The sequence below is a fragment of the Homo sapiens genome, chromosome 6 (genome assembly GCF_000001405.40).
Source record: "Homo sapiens chromosome 6, GRCh38.p14 Primary Assembly".
Classification (NCBI taxonomy): domain Eukaryota; kingdom Metazoa; phylum Chordata; class Mammalia; order Primates; family Hominidae; genus Homo; species Homo sapiens.
The window spans coordinates 170,376,847-170,395,173 of NC_000006.12; the positions used below are offsets into that span (position 1 = coordinate 170,376,847).

The 18,327-nt window shown below is 43.5% G+C and overlaps 1 protein-coding gene and 1 long non-coding RNA gene across 11 annotated transcripts in view, besides 1 other annotated feature; one reads left to right on the top strand and one right to left on the bottom strand.

Moving 5' to 3' along the window:
* The window catches only part of FAM120B (family with sequence similarity 120 member B), a 116,365-nt gene that overhangs the window by 86,144 nt on the left and 11,894 nt on the right, over window positions 1-18,327 (top strand). For 5 of the 9 annotated variants that reach the window (NM_001286379.2, NM_001286380.2, NM_032448.3 and 2 more), the window contains 2 exons: window positions 11,441-11,647; window positions 14,167-14,275. In NM_001286379.2, the coding sequence (NP_001273308.1) occupies window positions 11,441-11,647; window positions 14,167-14,275 (316 nt within the window). Of the gene's footprint in view, window positions 1-11,440; window positions 11,648-14,166; window positions 14,276-18,327 lie in introns of those variants that run through there. The other 4 variants (XM_047419415.1, XM_011536185.4, XR_002956306.2 and 1 more) reach the window with 3 other exon arrangements.
* On the bottom strand, window positions 3,301-16,292 carry LOC124901474 (uncharacterized). 2 transcript variants are annotated; one of them, XR_007059897.1, is made up of 4 exons: window positions 16,157-16,292; window positions 10,597-10,733; window positions 5,830-5,999; window positions 3,301-4,313 (listed from the first exon to the last, which is right to left on the bottom strand). It is a non-coding gene; the product is annotated as an uncharacterized LOC124901474 (long non-coding RNA). The 2 variants fall into 2 exon arrangements; XR_007059896.1 differs by having other exon boundaries at window positions 4,096-4,313; window positions 5,830-10,733; window positions 16,157-16,241.
* Window positions 9,963-11,162: an enhancer, noted in NCBI's record as "CDK7 strongly-dependent group 2 enhancer chr6:170695897-170697096 (GRCh37/hg19 assembly coordinates)". NCBI's record gives its function as "activates an origin of replication core promoter dependent on BRD2, BRD4, P300/CBP, MED14 and CDK7 cofactors, with strong dependence on CDK7, by STARR-seq in HCT116 cells {active_cell/tissue: HCT116}" and the evidence as "EXISTENCE:reporter gene assay evidence [ECO:0000049][PMID:35650434]".

The window sequence follows — 18,327 nt, forward strand, 5'->3', positions numbered from 1 at the left end:
CCCCTAGAGAAGAGGAGGAAGTGCCTGTTTCCGTGTAGAGCAAGCGGGGAATGCCACTTTGTGCTTTGCACACGCGTCCCTAAACCCAGACGCCTGGGAGAGCACGAGCTCAGGGCTGCTCTGTGCTGTGCACACGCGTCCCTAAACCCAGACGCCTGGGAGAACACAGGCTCACGCTGCTCGGTGCTGTGCACACGCGTCCCTAAACCCAGACGCCTGGGAGAACACAGGCTCACGCTGCTCGGTGCTGTGCACACGCGTCCCTAATCCCAGATGCCTGGGAGAACACAGGCTCACGCTGCTCGGTGCTGTGCACACGCGTCCCTAAACCCAGATGCCTGGGAGAACACGAGCTCACGCTGCTCGGTGCTGTGCACACGCGTCCCTAATCCCAGATGCCTGGGAGAACGCAGGCTCACGCTGCTCGGTGCTGTGCACACGCGTCCCTAATCCCAGATGCCCGGGAGAACACAGGCTCACGCTGCTCGGTGCTGTGCACACGCGTCCCTAAACCCAGACGCCTGGGAGAACACAGGCTCACGCTGCTCGGTGCTGTGCACACGCGTCCCTAAACCCAGACGCCTGGGAGAACACAGGCTCACGCTGCTCGGTGCTGTGCACACGCGTCCCTAATCCCAGATGCCTGGGAGAGCACAGGCTCACGCTGCTCGGTGCTGTGCACACGCGTCCCTAAACCCAGACGCCTGGGAGAACACAGGCTCACGCTGCTCGGTGCTGTGCACACGCGTCCCTAATCCCAGATGCCTGGGAGAGCACAGGCTCACGCTGCTCGGTGCTGTGCACACGCGTCCCTAAACCCAGACGCCTGGGAGAACACAGGCTCACGCTGCTCGGTGCTGTGCACACGCGTCCCTAATCCCAGACGCCTGGGAGAACACAGGCTCACGCTGCTCTGTGCTGTGCACACGCGTCCCTAATCCCAGATGCCTGGGAGAACACAGGCTCACGCTGCTCGGTGCTGTGCACACGCGTCCCTAATCCCAGATGCCTGGGAGAGCACCGGCTCACGCTGCTCGGTGCTGTGCACACGCGTCCCTAAACCCAGACGCCTGGGAGAGCACCATTCATTCTGGATGGCAGAGAAACCCTTAGAACAGAGCAGTTAACTGAAGAAGTTGAAACCAAAAGGGAAATGTTTATGTTTTGAGTCAGTCAGCCCTTTCAAGCTATGACCTTTTTACCAGCTTAATGTTTGTTTCTTGGTTTAGAGTTTATATTTAATACCTGATAGAGTTGCCATAAAATGCTCATTTCTGTCTGTGGAATTTTCCTTGGTTCACACACTGCAGACTTCCATCAGAGATCACAGCCCAGGTGTTGAAAGAACGCTCTTGCCATTTATTTATTTATTTATTAATCTTTAGCATACCCAGAATAGCTGTAGCACATCTGATCTAAGTTTTCTTTCTATAAGGATTCTTTAACCCCGAGCAGTTTCTAAGAGGAGCTTGAGACTTGAGAGCCCAAGGCTTTTGATTTGGGCTTGACCTGTGGACACCTGGCACACACCCTGCCACCCGCTAGAAGGATGTGTAACTCAGAGTCCTCTTCACCATCACCCCTCCCTGAGGACTTGTTTCCGTTCATGTCCCACAGTAAAGTTTCTTGTCAGTTCATTCCGTTTGTTGAAAACAGTAAAAAAATACGTTGAGCGCCTATTCTATGCCAGACTCTGTGAAGAGAATGGGTATCAGTGAGAGACGCCAACCCTTGTCGGATCTGCAGCCTAGAGGGGGAAGAGACAGGAGGCAGGAAGCAGAACCACATTCTAGCAGGGGAAATGGACAGGAAGCAGGAAGCAGAACCAGGAAGCGGTGGCGTAGACGGGCCTGCAAAGGGGCAGCCAGTGCCCTAGAAAGCAGAGAAGCAGGGCTGAGCCCTGAGCTCCTGGTTGTGGGCGGGGTGGGCTGCACCTGAGCCCCGAGCTTCCGGTTGTGGGCAGGGTGGGCTGCACCTTTATTTGGCCACATTAAAAAGGGGCTATTTGAGCTAAGACTTGAAAAAATAAGAGAATTAACTATTCAGCTTTCTGTGAGAAGAGCGTGCTAAGTAGATGGCCAGTGCCAAGGGTGGGGGTGTGCCTGTGTCAGGCAAATCAGGAGGAGCAAGGGACGGGGCCGGAGCCATGGGCCCAGGCAGCCTTGGTGAGGGGTTTCTCTGGCGTTTATGCTGAGGGAAATGGGAACCTTGCTCAAGACATGGAACGAAGGAATGACATGACCCAACTCACCTTTTGGAAGGATCAGCCTGCTGGCTCTGTTAAAACTAGGCTATAGTGCAGGGGTCCTTTAGTGGGGATCTGTGGTCTGAGACAGGAAAAAATATACCTGTGTTTTCACTAACTTCTAACTGAAGTTTATCATTTCCTTTATGATATAGTCAATAAAACAGTAATAATACAGCACCTGTGATTTTGTTACCAATAGAAATCAGATATTTTCATTACAGTTGGAGAAGTCCTCATATATTGTTTACTCTTATCATTTTCTCAAAACTGTGATTATTAGACCCATTGCTAGGTCTTAGGTACAGTTTTTACAGGTTGAGTATGTCTTAGCCAAAGTGCTTGGGACCAGAAGTGTTTCAGATTTCTGAATATTTCATTATACTTACCAGTTGAGCATCTCTAATCCAAAAACCTGAAATCCGAAAAGCTCCAGTGAGTATTTTGTTTCAGCGTCATGTCAGTGTTCAAAAAGTTTTGGATTTGGGAGTATTTCAGATTCTGTATTTTTAGAATGGGGTGTTCAACCTATATAAAAAGGGGGTTAAATTACTGTATCTTACATTTGATTTTTATATTATTTTGAAAACTGTCTCATAATTAATTTCTTTATAAATCCGTGTATTTTATTATACACATTAACTGTTGTTCTAAGAAAGTGTTCGTAGGCTTCCTCAGGCTGCCATAAAGATTGATAATACAAAAGAGATTTTGTTTGTTTGTTTTTCCAAATTAACCTATCCATCACCTTTTGTGTATGTGTGTGTGGTAAAAGCACCTAAAGTCTACCCTCTAGGCAGATTTTCGGTATACAGTAGAGTGTTATTAACTCTAGTCCTCGTGCCATGCATTAGATCTCTCCAGACCCATTCATCCCACATAACTGCAACTCTGTCCTTGGACTCACTTCTTCCCATTTCCTCCCTCACCCAGTAACTCCCGTTCTGCCGTCTGTTTATATGTATTTGGCGTTTTCAAGATTCCACATGCAGGTGAGATTGTGCAGTATTTGTCTGACTTTGCCTGACTTATTTCACTTAACATAGTGTTCTGCACTTCCATCCGTGTTGTTACAACATGACAGGATTTTTTTTCTTTTTTTTTTAGTAGCTGAACAGTATTCCATTTCGAATATGTACTGTTTTCTTTATCCATTCATCAGTTGATAGATGCTTAGGTTGGTTCTGTGCTTTGGCTGTTGTATAGAGTGCTGCAGGAAACATGGGTGCAGGTATCTCATCAACATACTGATTTCAGTTGCTTTGGGTCTATAACTACAAGTGAGATTGCTGGGTCATATGGTAGCTCTATTTTTAGGCTTTTGAGGAACCTCCATACTGTTTTCTATAATGGCTGTGCCAATTTACATGCCCACCAACAGTGTACAAGGGTTCCCCTTTCTCCACATCCTCACCAGCACTTATCTCTTGTCTTTTTAGACGATAGTCATCCTAGGACATGGTGAGGTGATTTCACACCGTGGGTTTGATTTGCTTCTCCCTGGTGATTAGTGTCGGACACCTTGCGTATGCCTGCTGACCATTTGTGTACTGTCTTTAGAGAAATGTCTATTCGTGTCCTTTGCCCATGTTTTAATTGGGTTATTTGTTTTTTGCTGTCGAGTTGTGTGAGTTCCTTACATATTTTGGATGTTAGCCCCTTATTAGATGCATGGTTTGCAAATATTTTCTCCCAGTCCATAGACTGCCTTTTCATTTACTTCATTGGTCACTTTGCTGTTCAGCTAAGCTTTGCTATGTGAGGTAGTCCCACTTGTTTATTTTTGCTTTTCTTGCCTGAGCCTTGGGGGGTCACACTCCAAAATTGAGCTATAGAGAGAAACAATTTTGGAGCTGCCTCCAGGAATAGAAGACTGAGATAATTTGGACTCACTTTCTGGTTGAAGACAAATAGAAAAGCTAGCAAAACATTTTTTAAATAAAGCTATTTGAAGGTATCAGTGAACTGAAAAGGTAATAAAGAAGTCCCATGTCAATATCCTGTAGAAGACAGAGATCAAGGGAGGTCAGCTTGGCATTAGGAACCACTTATGCTCTGATGTGTTTGCCTGTCAAGAAGTAAGAAAACACAAATTAGTACTACTAGGGATAAGGCAGGGGATATTACTATAGACCCTTCTAAGAAGAAAGGGAAGCACCATAAACAACTCTACACACATGCATTCAACAACTTAGATGTAGGGGCCAAATCTCAGAAAAGCACAGGTGACCACAACCCCCCAATACCAAACAGGTTCTTTAAAGAACTTCATAACTGTTAAAGAAATTGAATCCGTAGTTTGCAAACTCCCCTCAAAAGAGGTCTCTAGCCCAGAGGTGTCACTCGGTAATTTACCATATGTTTAAAGAAGAATTAATGCTAGTTCTACATTCTCTTCCAGAAAATACAAGAAGATAGACCATTCCCCAGTGAGGCCAGTATTACCCTGACACCCAAACCAGACAAAAAAAAAATAGTGCAAAATAGAAAACTACAGGCCATTATCCCTTTTGAATGTAGGTACAAAAATCTTGAACAAAATATGAGTGAATCAAATCCAGCAATTAATTATACACTATGACCAAGTGGCTGGTTTAGTACTTAAAAATCAGTCAGTGAAACCCTCCATATTAATAGATTAAGGAAGAAAAGTCACATGATCATATGAATCATTCAGAAAAAGGATTTGACAAAATTCAGTGCCCATTCATGGTTAAAAAAAAAAAAAACTTTCAGAAAAATGATAATGGAGGAGATCTTTCTCAACTTGATAAAGAACATCTACAAAAGCCCCTACAGCCAATGTAACACATAATAGTAAAAGACTAATTGCTTTTCTCCAATATCAGGGATATTAGGGACAGAGATGTCTGTCCTCACCACTCTTATTCAACATAGTGCTGGAAGTTCTGTCTAGTGCAGTGAGGAAAGAAAAGGAAATAAAAAGCATGCAGACAAAAAGAAGGAAACAAAACTGTCTCTATTTGCAAATGACATGATTCTCTAAATAAAAAATCCCAAGGAATCTACAAAAAAAACTAGAGCTAGGTGGGGTGTGGTGGCTCATGCCTGTAATCCCAGCACTTTGGGAGGCTGAATTAAGAGGATTACCTAAACCAAGAAGTTCAAGACCAGCCTGCGCAACATAGTAAGACCCCCATCTCTACAAAAAATTGAAAAATTAGCTGGATGTATTAGCTACTCAGGGAGCTGAGCTGGGAGGGATTGTTTGAGCCAGAGAGGTCAGGGCTCTGGTGATCCATGATCACATCACCATACTCCAGCCTGGGCAACCGAGTGAGACCCTGTCCTTAAAAAACAAACAAAAACAAACTAGATCTAGTGAGAGTTCAGCAAGGCCTCAAGCTACAAGACCTATATACCAAAAATCACTTGCATTTCTATATACTATTAATGAACATATGGAAACCTAAATTTAAAAGATAGTACCACTTAACAATTGTTTCACAAAAATGAATTACCTGGGCATAAATTAAATAAACATATACAGGATCTGTATGCTAAAAATTGCAAAATACTGATAAAAGAAATCAAAGCAAACCCAAAGAAGTGGAGACACATACCGTGTTCATGTACTGGAAGGCTCAGCAGAGACGTGGGTTCCCTCCAGACTGATGTACAGGTTTGATGTACTTGCTAGCAAAAATCCCAGCAAGGTATTTTTTTGTAGATGCGCAAGATTATTCTAAAATTTGTATGGAAGGGCAGTGAAACTAAAAGTCACGAAAATAATCTTGAAAAAGAAAAAGAAAATGGGCAGAATCACTGTATTTGATAACATACCTTGCTATATAACTGCAGTAATCAAGACAGTATAGTGTTGGTGAAGGGACAGACACAAGGTCAATGAAACAGAATAGAGAACCCAGACATAGACCCACACAAGTACCACCAGTGGATTTGGACAAGGTGCAAAAGCAACTCATTGGAGGAAGGCAGCCTATTTAGCCAATGTGACTGGAGCACTGGATACCCATAAGCCAAAAAAAGAAAAAAAAAAAAAAAGGACCTTGTCTTTGGCCTCACACTTTTGTAAAATTAACTCAAATGGAAAATGAAATTAACTGTAAAACATAAAACTATTACACTTTTGGGAAAAAAATAGAAGATCTTTGGTATCTAGGGTCAGGCAAAGAGTTCTTAGACTTCATACCAAAAGCATAATCTATAAAAGGAAAAGTTGATAAATTGGAAACATTTTTAATTCAACATTTTAAATTCAAAATTAAAAATGTCGCTCTATTAGGATAAGGAAAAGACAACCTACTGCCAGGGAGAAAATACTTGCAAACCTCCTGTCTGACAGAGATCTTATACCTAGAAAATATAAAGAATCTCAGAACTCAACATTAAAAACAATCCAGTTAGAAAGTAGGCCAAAGATAGACATTTTACCAAAGACATTCAGATGGTAAATAAGTACATGAAAAGTTGTTCAACATAATTAACCATTAGGGAAATGCAAATTAAAACCACAGTGAGATAGCACTACACACGGATTAGAGCAGCTAAAATTAAAAATAAAATAGTGACACCACCAAATTCTGGCGAGGATGCAGTCCTTATACACTAGCCTCTTACATGGCTGGTGTCGGTCACTCTGGAAAACAGTTTGGCCGTTTCTTAAAAAACTAATAATGCACTTACCATCTGAACTAGCAATCACATGCCTGGGCATGAAAACTTAGGTTCATTCAAAAACCTGTGCATGAATATTCATAGCAGCTGTATTTGTAGTAGCACAGGTTGGAAGCAACCCAGATGTCTTTAAATGGACGAATGTTTAACAGGCTGGTGCATCCATGCCATGAAGCACAACTCGGCAATAAAGAGGAATGAGTGGCTGGCGCTTGGTGAGTGGCTGACGCTTGGAACCACCTGAATGGATCTCAAGGGAATTATACTGAGTAAAAAAGCCAATCCCAAAAGGTCACATATTACATGATTCTATTTATGTTACATTCTGAAAATGACAGGATAAAGAGATGGATAACAGATTAAGTTGCCAGGGATTTGGGACAGCACAAGGGAGGTCTTATGTGGAGAGACAGTTTTGTTTCTTGATGGTAGTGGCAGGGGCTACACAAACCCACCAGGTTTTGAAATTGCCTAGAACCTGAATAAGGATTGTGGATGGCACTGATGCCAGCTTCCTGGTTTGGATATTGCCCTGTAGTATGTCAGATGTTACCCTTGGTGAAGGATACATGGGGCCCTCTATCCTATCTTTGTCAACTCCTGTGAATCTATAGTCGTTTCAAAATAAAAATTAAAAAATAAATCACCAACCAAACAGATACCTAAGGTCTCAGGGACACTGGGAAATTAAAAGTTTTAGGACAGAAAAAGCTGTTCCGTGCAGCTGCTAACCCAAAGAAACCAGTGCGCCTGCATCAGAAGTGGACTTCAGGTAGAAATGGCCATGAGAGGAAGAAGGGACATTTGAGAAGAAAGGTCAGCGCCCCAGGATTATTTCCGGATTCTCTAGATCTGTAAGTTAGTATGCACAGTTTCCAGATGCATCAGATGAAAACTGACACAACTGAAAAACGAAGCAGACATATCTGTAATCACAGTGGGACGTGTGAGCACAGGGGTCCACAAACTGTAGCCAGTAGGCCAAGTCTGGCCTTTGGCCTGCTTTTGTGTGGGTCTGTGAGCTAAGAATGCTTTTTGGAGTTTTTAAAGGGTTGGTTTAAAAAAGAATATCTAACAGAAACTGTAGGGGGCCAGTGAAGCCTAAACTCTTCACTGTCTGGCCCCTGCAGAGGAAGTCTATGGAGCTTTAACAAAGCCTCTCTCAAGAGCTGATAGGACAAACAGACAGAAGGTTAGTATGGATTCGAATTGTTGAACACATTTTGAACACAGTGAACACACTCATCCTAACGGACATATAGAATCCTGCACCCAAAAGCTATAGAGTAAACACTTCTCCAGTGCATATGGGAAATCTACCAGAATTGACTAGATGACAGCTCATAAAGCAAGCTTCAGCAAATTTCAAACAATTGAAAGCATCCCTCTTTTTTCTGTCCACAGTAAGCTAGAAATCAGTAATAACAATAAGTAAAAATTCTGTTATTTGAAATTAAAATAGTACACTTCTAAATAATTCACAGGGAAAAAGCAGAAACCACAGTGGGCATTATAAAATATTTTGAATGACAGTGAAAATATTGTCCATAAAAAATGTGTGGGATGAAGCTGAAAGCTGTTCTGAGAAGGAAATTTGTAGAATTAAATGAATATACTTTAAAAAAAAGGCTGAAAATCAATGATCTAAGTATACATCTCTATAAATTAATAAAAAATCAAACTCAGGGAGTGTGGTAGGTAGGAAGGAAATAGTAAAAGCAGGAACTAGTGAAATAGGAAACAAATGGAGAATAGAGAAAGGTTTTTTTTATGTCATTCGCAGGAGTTCTCCCTCCTTGCTGGTGGGAATTCAAAGTGGTGAAGCCACTCTGGATGGCCATGAGGTGGTTTCTTAACAAAGCTAAACAGGTCTTAACACACAGTCCAGTAGCTGCGCCCCTTGCTGCAGCCACACCACAACCTGTACATAGAAGTTTCGGCAACCCTATTCATAACTACCAAAACTTGGAAGCAGCCAAGATGTCCTTCAGTGGGTGATTAGATGAACGAACTGTGGTCCATCCAGACAGTGGAATGTTATTCAGTACTAAAAATACGTCTATCAAGCTATGAAAAGACATGGAGGAAACTTAAATGCATGTTACTAAGTGACAGAAGCCAATCTGAAAAAGCTGCCTACTGTCTGATTCCAGCTATAGGAAGACTGGAAAAGGGAGAACTATGGAAACAGTAGAAAGATGAGTGATTGCCAGGGGCTCAGGGGAGGGAGGCTGAGCAGGCAGGCGGGAGGGCTTTAGGGCAGTGTGCCTGCTCCAGATGATGCTCTCATGGTGGCTCCAGGTCATTACACATTTGTCCAAACTCGCAGAATGTACACCACCAAGAGTGAACCCTCGTGTCAACTGTGGACTTGAGGGACATGTCAGTGTGGGTTTGCCGATTGTAACAAATGTGTCCTCCAGGGATTGGCGGGTGGAGGCACTGATCTGTAGAGAAGCAGAGGGTATGTGGGAAATCTCTGTACCTTCCTCTCAATTTTGCTGTGAACCTAAAACTGTTCTAAAAACATAAAGTCCTTTTTTTTAAGTTAATTTGAAAAGATGAATAAAACTGATAAACCTGTTACTAAATTGATGAAGAAAAGCAGAAAGCACAAATTGCCAGTATACAGCATGAAAAAGGGACATCTGTATACATAGATAATGCAGACTAAAGAGATGAGGGAATATTTATACCAATACATTTGAAACTTCAAGTAAAATGCGTGCCATGAAAATTTCAGGTAAAATGAACACATTCCTTGAAAAATACAACCTAATAAGACTGAAGTATGAAGAAATAGAAAACTAGAAACCTTGAATGGTTCCATGTCTACTGAAGACATTGAATCTGAAATGAAAACTCTGCCCACAAGGAAACCTCAGGATCAGAGGGCTTCCCTGTGAGTTTTTCCAGACACCGAAGGAGGAACCAGCAGCTGTGCTACGCCCTTTCTTCCAGAGAGCAGAAGAAGAAGGAAGGCTTTCCAACTGTTTCTCTAAGTCCAGCAAAATCCTGATGCAAAAATCTAACAAAGACATCACAAGAAATAGAAATTTAGGCCATTCTGTTTCATGAAAATAAAGCTTCCAAACAAAATACTAACAAATCAAATCCAGCAATATGTAAAACCAATAATACATGATGACCAAGTTGGGTTTATTTTTGGAATGCAATATTGATTTAACATTTGAAAACCATTGTAAATAACAATGAATAAGAAAAAGGATATAATGGATGCTAAAAAAATACTTGATTAAATTCAGTACCTGTTCATGGCAGTCACCTTCAGGCTTCTGTAGGAAATACACTTCTCACTAACACGTCCTGTTAGCATCTGCTCAGCCCTGTGTACGTGTGTAATGGTTGCTCTTTTTAAAAACGAGTGTTGTTTTGGATAATTTTGTAGAATAAAAAGTGTCGCACAGCACTATTTTAGGGTATAGTAGTGCTGTGCAACAAAAATCATTTTGATTAAACCTAGATTAACTCTCGGATAATCTCAGTTCATGATACGTTTCTTACAGTGGTGAGCAAGGTTCTTCTATTTTAGTAAGTGAAGCCTTAACTTCTAAAGGAGCTAAAATATCTGTTACTTTTTTCCTAATTTATTTTAGTTTTATTTAAAATAACTCTTGGTTAATTTGAGCTACATAGATAAGCCAGACAATGACGGATTCAGTTTCACTTACCTCATTTACGGACTCATGTGGACACTCGCTAGATATCGGTATCACTTTCCATGGGGCCAGTGTCAGCCAGGAGGTAGAGAGTATCTCATGCAGCATCCTCGCTAAATGCAGGAACCCTCTGCAGCATCTTAGGATAGCTTCCCCGTTTGAGAACAGAATGTTGGACATCAAGGTAAATTTGACAGTGAAAAGAAATATTTCATATTGGTATGGTCTTAATTTGCAAAGATTATCAGCCTATCAACCTAGTGAGATACATAAGCCATTTTATTCTTAAATGATAAGTGTTCATTTAAAGTTAGATCTTTCATAACAAATACTCATAATTACAACAATTATGATTTTTAAATACAATAAACTTAATAGTGTCTAAAATGATACTCTTTTGGCTTCCCTGTCTGTCCCTTTGCCTTTGAAGAAAGTTGTTCAGGAAAGAATGCACCCAGAAGTGAATGATCATGTGAGCTTTTTCCTAGTGGACCACAGTTTTCACCATTTCTGTTCTCGGCCTAGAGGTTCCTGGGAGGCAAGAGACACTGTGCTCACTGCCTCTGTATGTGGAGCAGGCCTGAGTAAGTGTCTGAGGTTTGAATGGATGGGTGGATGGATGAAGACACACTCTGACTGTAGAGGCACCCTCATTTCTGTCAGCTGAGGTTGTTTCCAAGGCCTCTGTAATCAGTAGAGCTGGTGAAGCTCAGCTTTGAGGATGCAGCTATGGTGATGCTGTCCAGTTACTGAGTGAGCATCCGTTCTGAGCAGAGTAACTTTGCAGAGCTGAGATCTGTTTCCTGCATGTGTGACTCCTGTCTTACATTTTTGGTGTGTGTTCTGGTCTCCACAGCCTGATTACATCAACCCCAGAGCCGTGCAGCTGGGCTCCCTTCTCGTCCGCGGCCTCACCACTCTGGTTTTAGTCAACAGCGCATGTGGCTTCCCCTGGAAGACGAGTGATTTCATGCCCTGGAATGTATTTGACGGGAAGCTTTTTCATCAGAAGTACTTGCAATCTGAAAAGGGTTATGCTGTGGAGGTTCTTTTAGAACAAAATGTGAGTTCACAGACACCTACCTTTCACCAGAAACATCCCTGTAGCTCCAGGCTGCACAAAAAACATGAAGTCGGCTGTTGCATTTTTCAAATTAATGCTTTCCAAATAAAGGATTCCGTTAAACCAGGAACACATGATTTGAAGCATTAGGCTTCTGCATCAACATAACTAATACAGGCTGAATATCCCTTATCTGAAATACTTAGGACCAGAAGTGTTTTGGATTTTGAATGTTTTTGGAATTTTGGAATGTTTGCATATACAGTTGATCCTTGAACAATGCAAGGGTTAAGGGCTCCAAATCCTTCTGCAGTGGAAAACCTGTATATAATTTTTGACTCCCCCAAAACGTTACTACAAAGAGCCTACTGTTGACCAGAAGCCTTAACCAATAACATAAGCCGTCAATTAACACATCATTTGTATTATATATGTATTATATACTGTATTCTTACAATAAAGTAAGTGAGCTAGAGAAAAGAAAATGTGATTAAGAAAATCATAAGAGAGAACTATATTTACTGTCCATTAAATGGAGGTGATCATCCTCACATTGAGTGGGCTGAGAAGGAGGAAGAGGGGTGGGTCTTGCTGCCTCAGGCGTGGCAGAGGCAGAAGAAGATTCGAGTGTAAGTGATCTATGCAGTTCAAACCCATGTTGTTCAAGGGTCAGCTGTACATACATAATGAGATATCTTGGGGCTGAGACCCAAATCTAAACACAAAGTTCATGTATGTCTCATATACTCCTTATACAATAGCCCGAAAGTAATTTTATACAGTATTATTAATGACGTGCATGGAACAGTGTTTTCACTGCATCCATCACATGAGACCAGGTGTGGAATTTTCCACTTATAGCAGTTTTAGATTTTGGATTTTCAGATTAGGAGTGCTCAACCTGTAGCTTCTTCCAGAATTCTTAAATAGGATTCAGGACTCCCAAACTTATGGTTAGGTAGGGCGAGCAGTATCACACCCAGTCTGACACATTTTTAATTTTTGAAGTGCTTTTCACTCCTCTCCCCATTTCTCACACACACACACGCACACATATATGTAATACACATACTTTTTTTTTTTGAAACAGGGTCTTGCTCTGTTGCCCAGCCTGGAATGCAGTGGTGCAATCTCCACTAACTGCAAACTTCCACCTCCTGGGCTCAAGTGATCCTCCCTCCTCAGCCTTCTGAGTAGCCAGGACTGCAGGCGCGCATCACCATGCCCAGCTAATTTTTGTATTTTCTGTAGAGGTGAGGTTTTTCCACGTTGCCCAGGCTGGTCTTGAACTCCTGGGCTCAAAGTGATCCGTCTGCCTCAGCCTCCCAAAGTGCTGGGATTACAGGTGTGAGCCACCGCGACCAGCCCCTCTCCCTATTTTTTAATGAGGAACTAATACTCCCTGCAAAAGTGCCCCACAGATATCAGACTAATCTGATAGGTGTAGTTATGATTTATTACTTGAAAATACTCCCCAAAGGCTGCCAATTTAGTTGGGGACGCTGGCTGCTGTCCAGCTTAATAAATACAATCGCTACATGACTCCTGGAAGATTTCCAAGTAAGGCCTCAAGCCAAGCTCATTTGGAATGTGTTTTAATACCCGCAGGGATGAGAAAAGCGGTGTGATCCGTGAGAGAGCATACCGGTCTGTCACGATAAAGCACTCCAAGCTTTCATAGCGGAGAGAACACATTTGGTAATGTGTTGCCATCACTGTTCCTCACATACACACACACAGATTCCAGAGTGGCATAGGACTGCAAGTATTTAGAACTTAGAAGCAGCCTGAATTTTATAGAGAGCAAAAGCAGAACAAGAGGAGAAATGTGCTTCTAATAAGCCAATAAGTATTGGAAAGTAGACTGTAGAAATGAAAGGTAAAGTAGCCTTAGTGTAGCCTGTAAGTCATTCCATCAAGGATCTTTTCCTTTCTTTATCCAATCTCTTGACCAAGTTCCAAGTGATTATACGTTCTAGTTTGGGAAAAAAAAAAAGTATAGGATAGAATATTCAACAATAAAACAGGAAGCTTGAAGGAAAGGTTGAATGTTCCATGTTCCATTTCTTGATCTGCTGATGTTGTTTTGTTTTTTGTTTTTTGTTTTTTTTCTGACGTTGGCATTTCTGCTGAATGTTCTTATAATTAAGAATCGAAAGATTAAGATATATTAAATCCAAACACTTTTTAAGGTAAGATTGTGTGGTAATCACCTAAATTGTCGTAATAGGACTTGAAGATTCTTTTTTAGAAATGATTGTTTAACCTACAGAAGCTGCTTGGTGTTCTTTTTCTGGGGGATTTAGGAGAATATGTTCTCGAAGAACCTCTTGGGATGTGGTCATGCTGAAGGAGAACTGTGCTGCGGTTCATGTCTGGGAGGAGGGTGCAGCCACCATTGCTGCCTCGCCTTGGGAACAGTGTGGAAGGGTGTCCCCTAAGCTTCCTTCCAGCCACATCTGGCCCTACTTTGCCACATCTGGCCCCTCACATCTCATTTGCATCTGGTCTGTTTGCAGAGATCTCGGCTCACCAAATTCCACAACCTGAAGGCAGTCGTCTGCAAGGCCTGCATGAAGGAGAACAGACGCATCACTGGCCGAGCCCACTGGGGCTCACACCACGCAGGTGGGAAAGGGCCAGGTGCCTCTAGAAGCCCCACAAGCGTAGACCCTAACTGCTTCCTGAGTTTTGTTGATAAATGAATTCTAAGAAGAGGCTGATATAATTGGATGAACAGAATAGAATTTAAATGATAGGGCCGGGTGCGGTGGCTCACGCCTGTAATCTCAGCACTTTGGGAGGCCGAGGCAGGCAGATCACTTGAGGTCAGGAATTCAAGACCAGCCTGGCCCACATGGTGAAACCCCGTCTCTACTAAAAATACAAAAATGAACCGGGCGTGTTGGCGGGCGCCTGTAATCCCAGCTACTTGGGAGGCTGAGGAAGGAGGATCACTTGAACCTGGGAGGTGGAGGTTGCAGTGAGCCAAGATCACGTCACTGCACTCCAGTCTAGGTGACAGATCGAGACTCCATCTCAAAAAAAAAAAAGTATTAAAATCTCTACCCAGTGGTTTAAATTCTGGTCCCAGCAGGAAAATTTCTCAGAAAGGATTCGCTCATTAATTAAATAATGAAGAACTCTTTCTCTGCATGTGTAACCTCCTTTCTAGGGTTCCCCAAAGTGGAACAGCTGCTTAGGTAATGTTTGTTTATTTGACAAGAGTTTAGGTTTATTTTTTCTTATGATAAAAGTATATTATAAAAAATGAGTATAAAGAAAGTAATTAAAAAGGAAATATACATGGCCTTTAATTCTATCACATAAAGACAACGAGCTTCTGCCAAGGTTTTCTGTGTTTGCATCTCATTGTGAGTACACTCCATGCAGTTTGCATCCTGCTTTCCCACTTAGCACTTAACTTAGGGCGTTAACACCGTTCTTCTTAAACAACGGCCACAGAATCTTCCACTACTACATAGCTTGTTCCCCTGTTTGGAGCTCTGAGGGTATTTCCATTTTTTTCTCATTACTCCTAATGCTTGTATGTGTATTATTATTATTTTCTTCAAACAGAATATCATTGTCTGTGGAATCATAGATTGAAATATAATCAATTTTAGGTAAATGATCACTGAATACCTTCTCCAGCAGTGAGCAAGAGTTTCCGTTTCAGGGTACCCTTGACACTTCTAAAAGTCTGGGGGTTTTTTGCTTTTTGTTTTTTTGAGATGGAGTTTCACTCTTGTTGCCCAGGCTGGAGTGCAGTGGCTCGATCTCGGCTCACTGCAACCTCCGCCTCCCGAGTTCAAGCGATTCTCTTGCCTCAGCCTCCCGAGCAGCTGGGACTACAGGCTTGTGCCACCACGCCCGGCTAATTTTTGTATTTTTAGTACAGAAGGGGTTTCACCATGTTGGCCAGGATTGTCTCAATCTCTTGACCTCGTGATCCGCTGGTTTTCAAAAACCAATTTGGTAGATGAAAAATCTATCTCATTGATTGAATGCTGCTTTGTCTGTCAGTGAAGTTAGATATCTTATTAGTTTATTTTGTTAATGAGACTTTTTAATTATTCTTTCATGCCCTCCTTCAGTTCATGTTTACACCTGTAACTACTGCAGTCCCATTATTTTTCTTGATGGAATAGGAGAACTCAGCCCAGATTCTTATCCACCCAGACTATCTCTAGGAGAACTACTTGGTGTCAGCCTTGCAAATACCATTCTCAGAGGTTTCGTGTCATGGGGGGAGTAGCCGCCTCAGATGCACCCAGATCCCACCAGGTGTCGTGCGTAGCACCCCATGAAGGGAGAGCAGCCAGGGTGTGTGGAGCCATGTCCAACCATGAGAGGGAAGGCTGCTTTTTCTACTGTTCCCAATCCTTTTCTCCATCTTTTGACTTTCTGCCACCAACTATAGATAGACAGAGATTGAGACCCCCAAAACAAAGTTGATTTATTGCAAAATAAATGTGTGATACTCTCTCACATTGCCTGTTTCCTTACCTGGTTGGCAGTAGGTCCTCAGAAGTTTGCGCCGTGGCTGGGCACACACCTGTAATCTGAGCACTTTGGCAGGCTGAGGTGGGAGAATCACTTAAGGCCAGGAGTTTGACACTGGCCTGAGAAACATAGCGAGACCCTGTCTTTACAAAAAAAAAAAAAAAAAAGTCTGCACTGCATACACAGTCCTGCAGGGTTCCCTCTCCTCTCCAGACTGAGGTTGTCAGCGAAGCCATGACAAGCGGCTGAGAGACCTGCAGATGCTGGACGCTGCTGCTTAGGTGGCAGTAGGCGTGGCGGTTGTCAGGCCAAACTCCTCTTTCATTTCAGAGGCCATGAGGTCCTGCAGGACAAGTTTATTTTGAGCACTAAAGATGACCTGTTAGTCTAATGCAGTGTGGTACAGTGGTACTTACAATTTTTATAGAAACTAAATTTTGACTATTTTCTAATGAAGTCTGCATACAAATGGGCAGAAATCAGTGTCCTGTCATATTATTCCAAGTTAATGAGGCAAACTACATTTTCCTTTTGTATTATTCCATTAATGAGGCGAACTACATTTTAAGAGCTATGATAGATTAGTAAGATCATTTCGTGATTTGGAAACTGTTCCCTTTTTTGTTCTCAAAGTAATTTTCTTCACAAATCCAACTTAAGGTTCTATGGTTCAGTCCCTCATTTTGCTGAAGAACCTTATGCCCCACATGGCTCACCCAAAACCAAGCTGATTCTTCGTTGCAGAACTTAGACTGAAGCCTCCACCGCTTGGCCCCAGCCCCATGTTCTTGGGTAATGCTGAGCTTGCACCTCCTGTGTTGGGGAAGGGCTGTAGGGACGTGGTAGGGCCCTGCAGTCCTGACTGCCGTTGTCTGCTTCCACGGGCCGCACAGCCAGGCCACTGCAACACCAAGCTACTCGGTGTGTTGGCCTCTGGACCCAAGCTGACAGCTGTGAGCTCACAACTGCTCCAAGCTTGGAGTCACCTGTTATTCTCAGTGTGTGGTCACAAGTGCTCATGCTGGAGGTGAGCTGGAGACCACGTGTGTAAGATGAGCACACACGGGCTGACCCTGGCCAGATGTGAGGAGCATGTCACCAGTCCTGCAGACCAGTAGCTCAGAGACAAGGGCAGCAGTCACAAAGGGATGACATCACGGCAGGAAGGTGGGTCTTGGGGGACTTTCAGTAGCTAGACTGGGGTAAAACACCACAATGGGAGGACACTGGGGAAGGTGAGTCAGCCTTAGAGACCACAGAGGCTGCTGAATGCCAGGCAAGTCGTGGCTTTTCTACCCACCTCATACTGGGGAGGTTTTGAAGTTTTTTGAGGTGATGTGATGAGAAATCTGTTAGTTCAGGACCTGTATCTGGGCCCCAGACAAGGGGGTTGGTCCTGAGGGCAGCCCAGGAGCATGTGCCAGCACAAGGCCACGCCTCCGTGGACACCGCAGCATGCCAGCACAAGGCCACGCCTCCGTGGACACCGCAGCATGCCAGCACAAGGCCACGCCTCCGTGGACACCGCAGCATGCCAGCACAAGGCCACGCCTCCGTGGACACCGCAGCATGCCAGCACAAGGCCACGCCTCCGTGGACACCGCAGCATGCCAGCACGAGGCCACGCCTCCGTGGACACCGCAGCATGCCAGCACGAGGCCACGCCTCCGTGGACACCGCAGCATGTCAGCACAAGGCCATGCCTCCGTGGACACCGCAGCATGTCCAGGGAGGACCAGCCTGGTGGAGGCACACCCTGCAAGGCCACTCTTCCCTCATAGCTAAAGCCCCAGGTGGCCTGCACACTGCATGTGTGGTCACGCACTGGGAGTCCTGGTCACAGTGTGGCCCACCTCGCGGATGCTTCCAGTGCACCTGTGGAGCAGGGACAGTACCCATGGCAGGGCTGGACGGCCTGGGCCTTCTTTGTGGAGCACCATGGACTATCACGATACCTTTAAAAAATCACATGAGTTTGTATGTAATCAGGCCTTCTAGTAGAGACAAACAGGACAAGGTGTCATGGACTGGGAAGTTATGGAAATTTTAAAGCACGAAAAGTGTGTGTGAGTGAAGTTTGTGGAGAATGGGGAGAAGCTCACAAGTCCCAGAAGTGCTGCTCCATGCCTCAACCAGGGCCCTAGAGGGATGGGCTTGGTCATGGGCGCCATGGC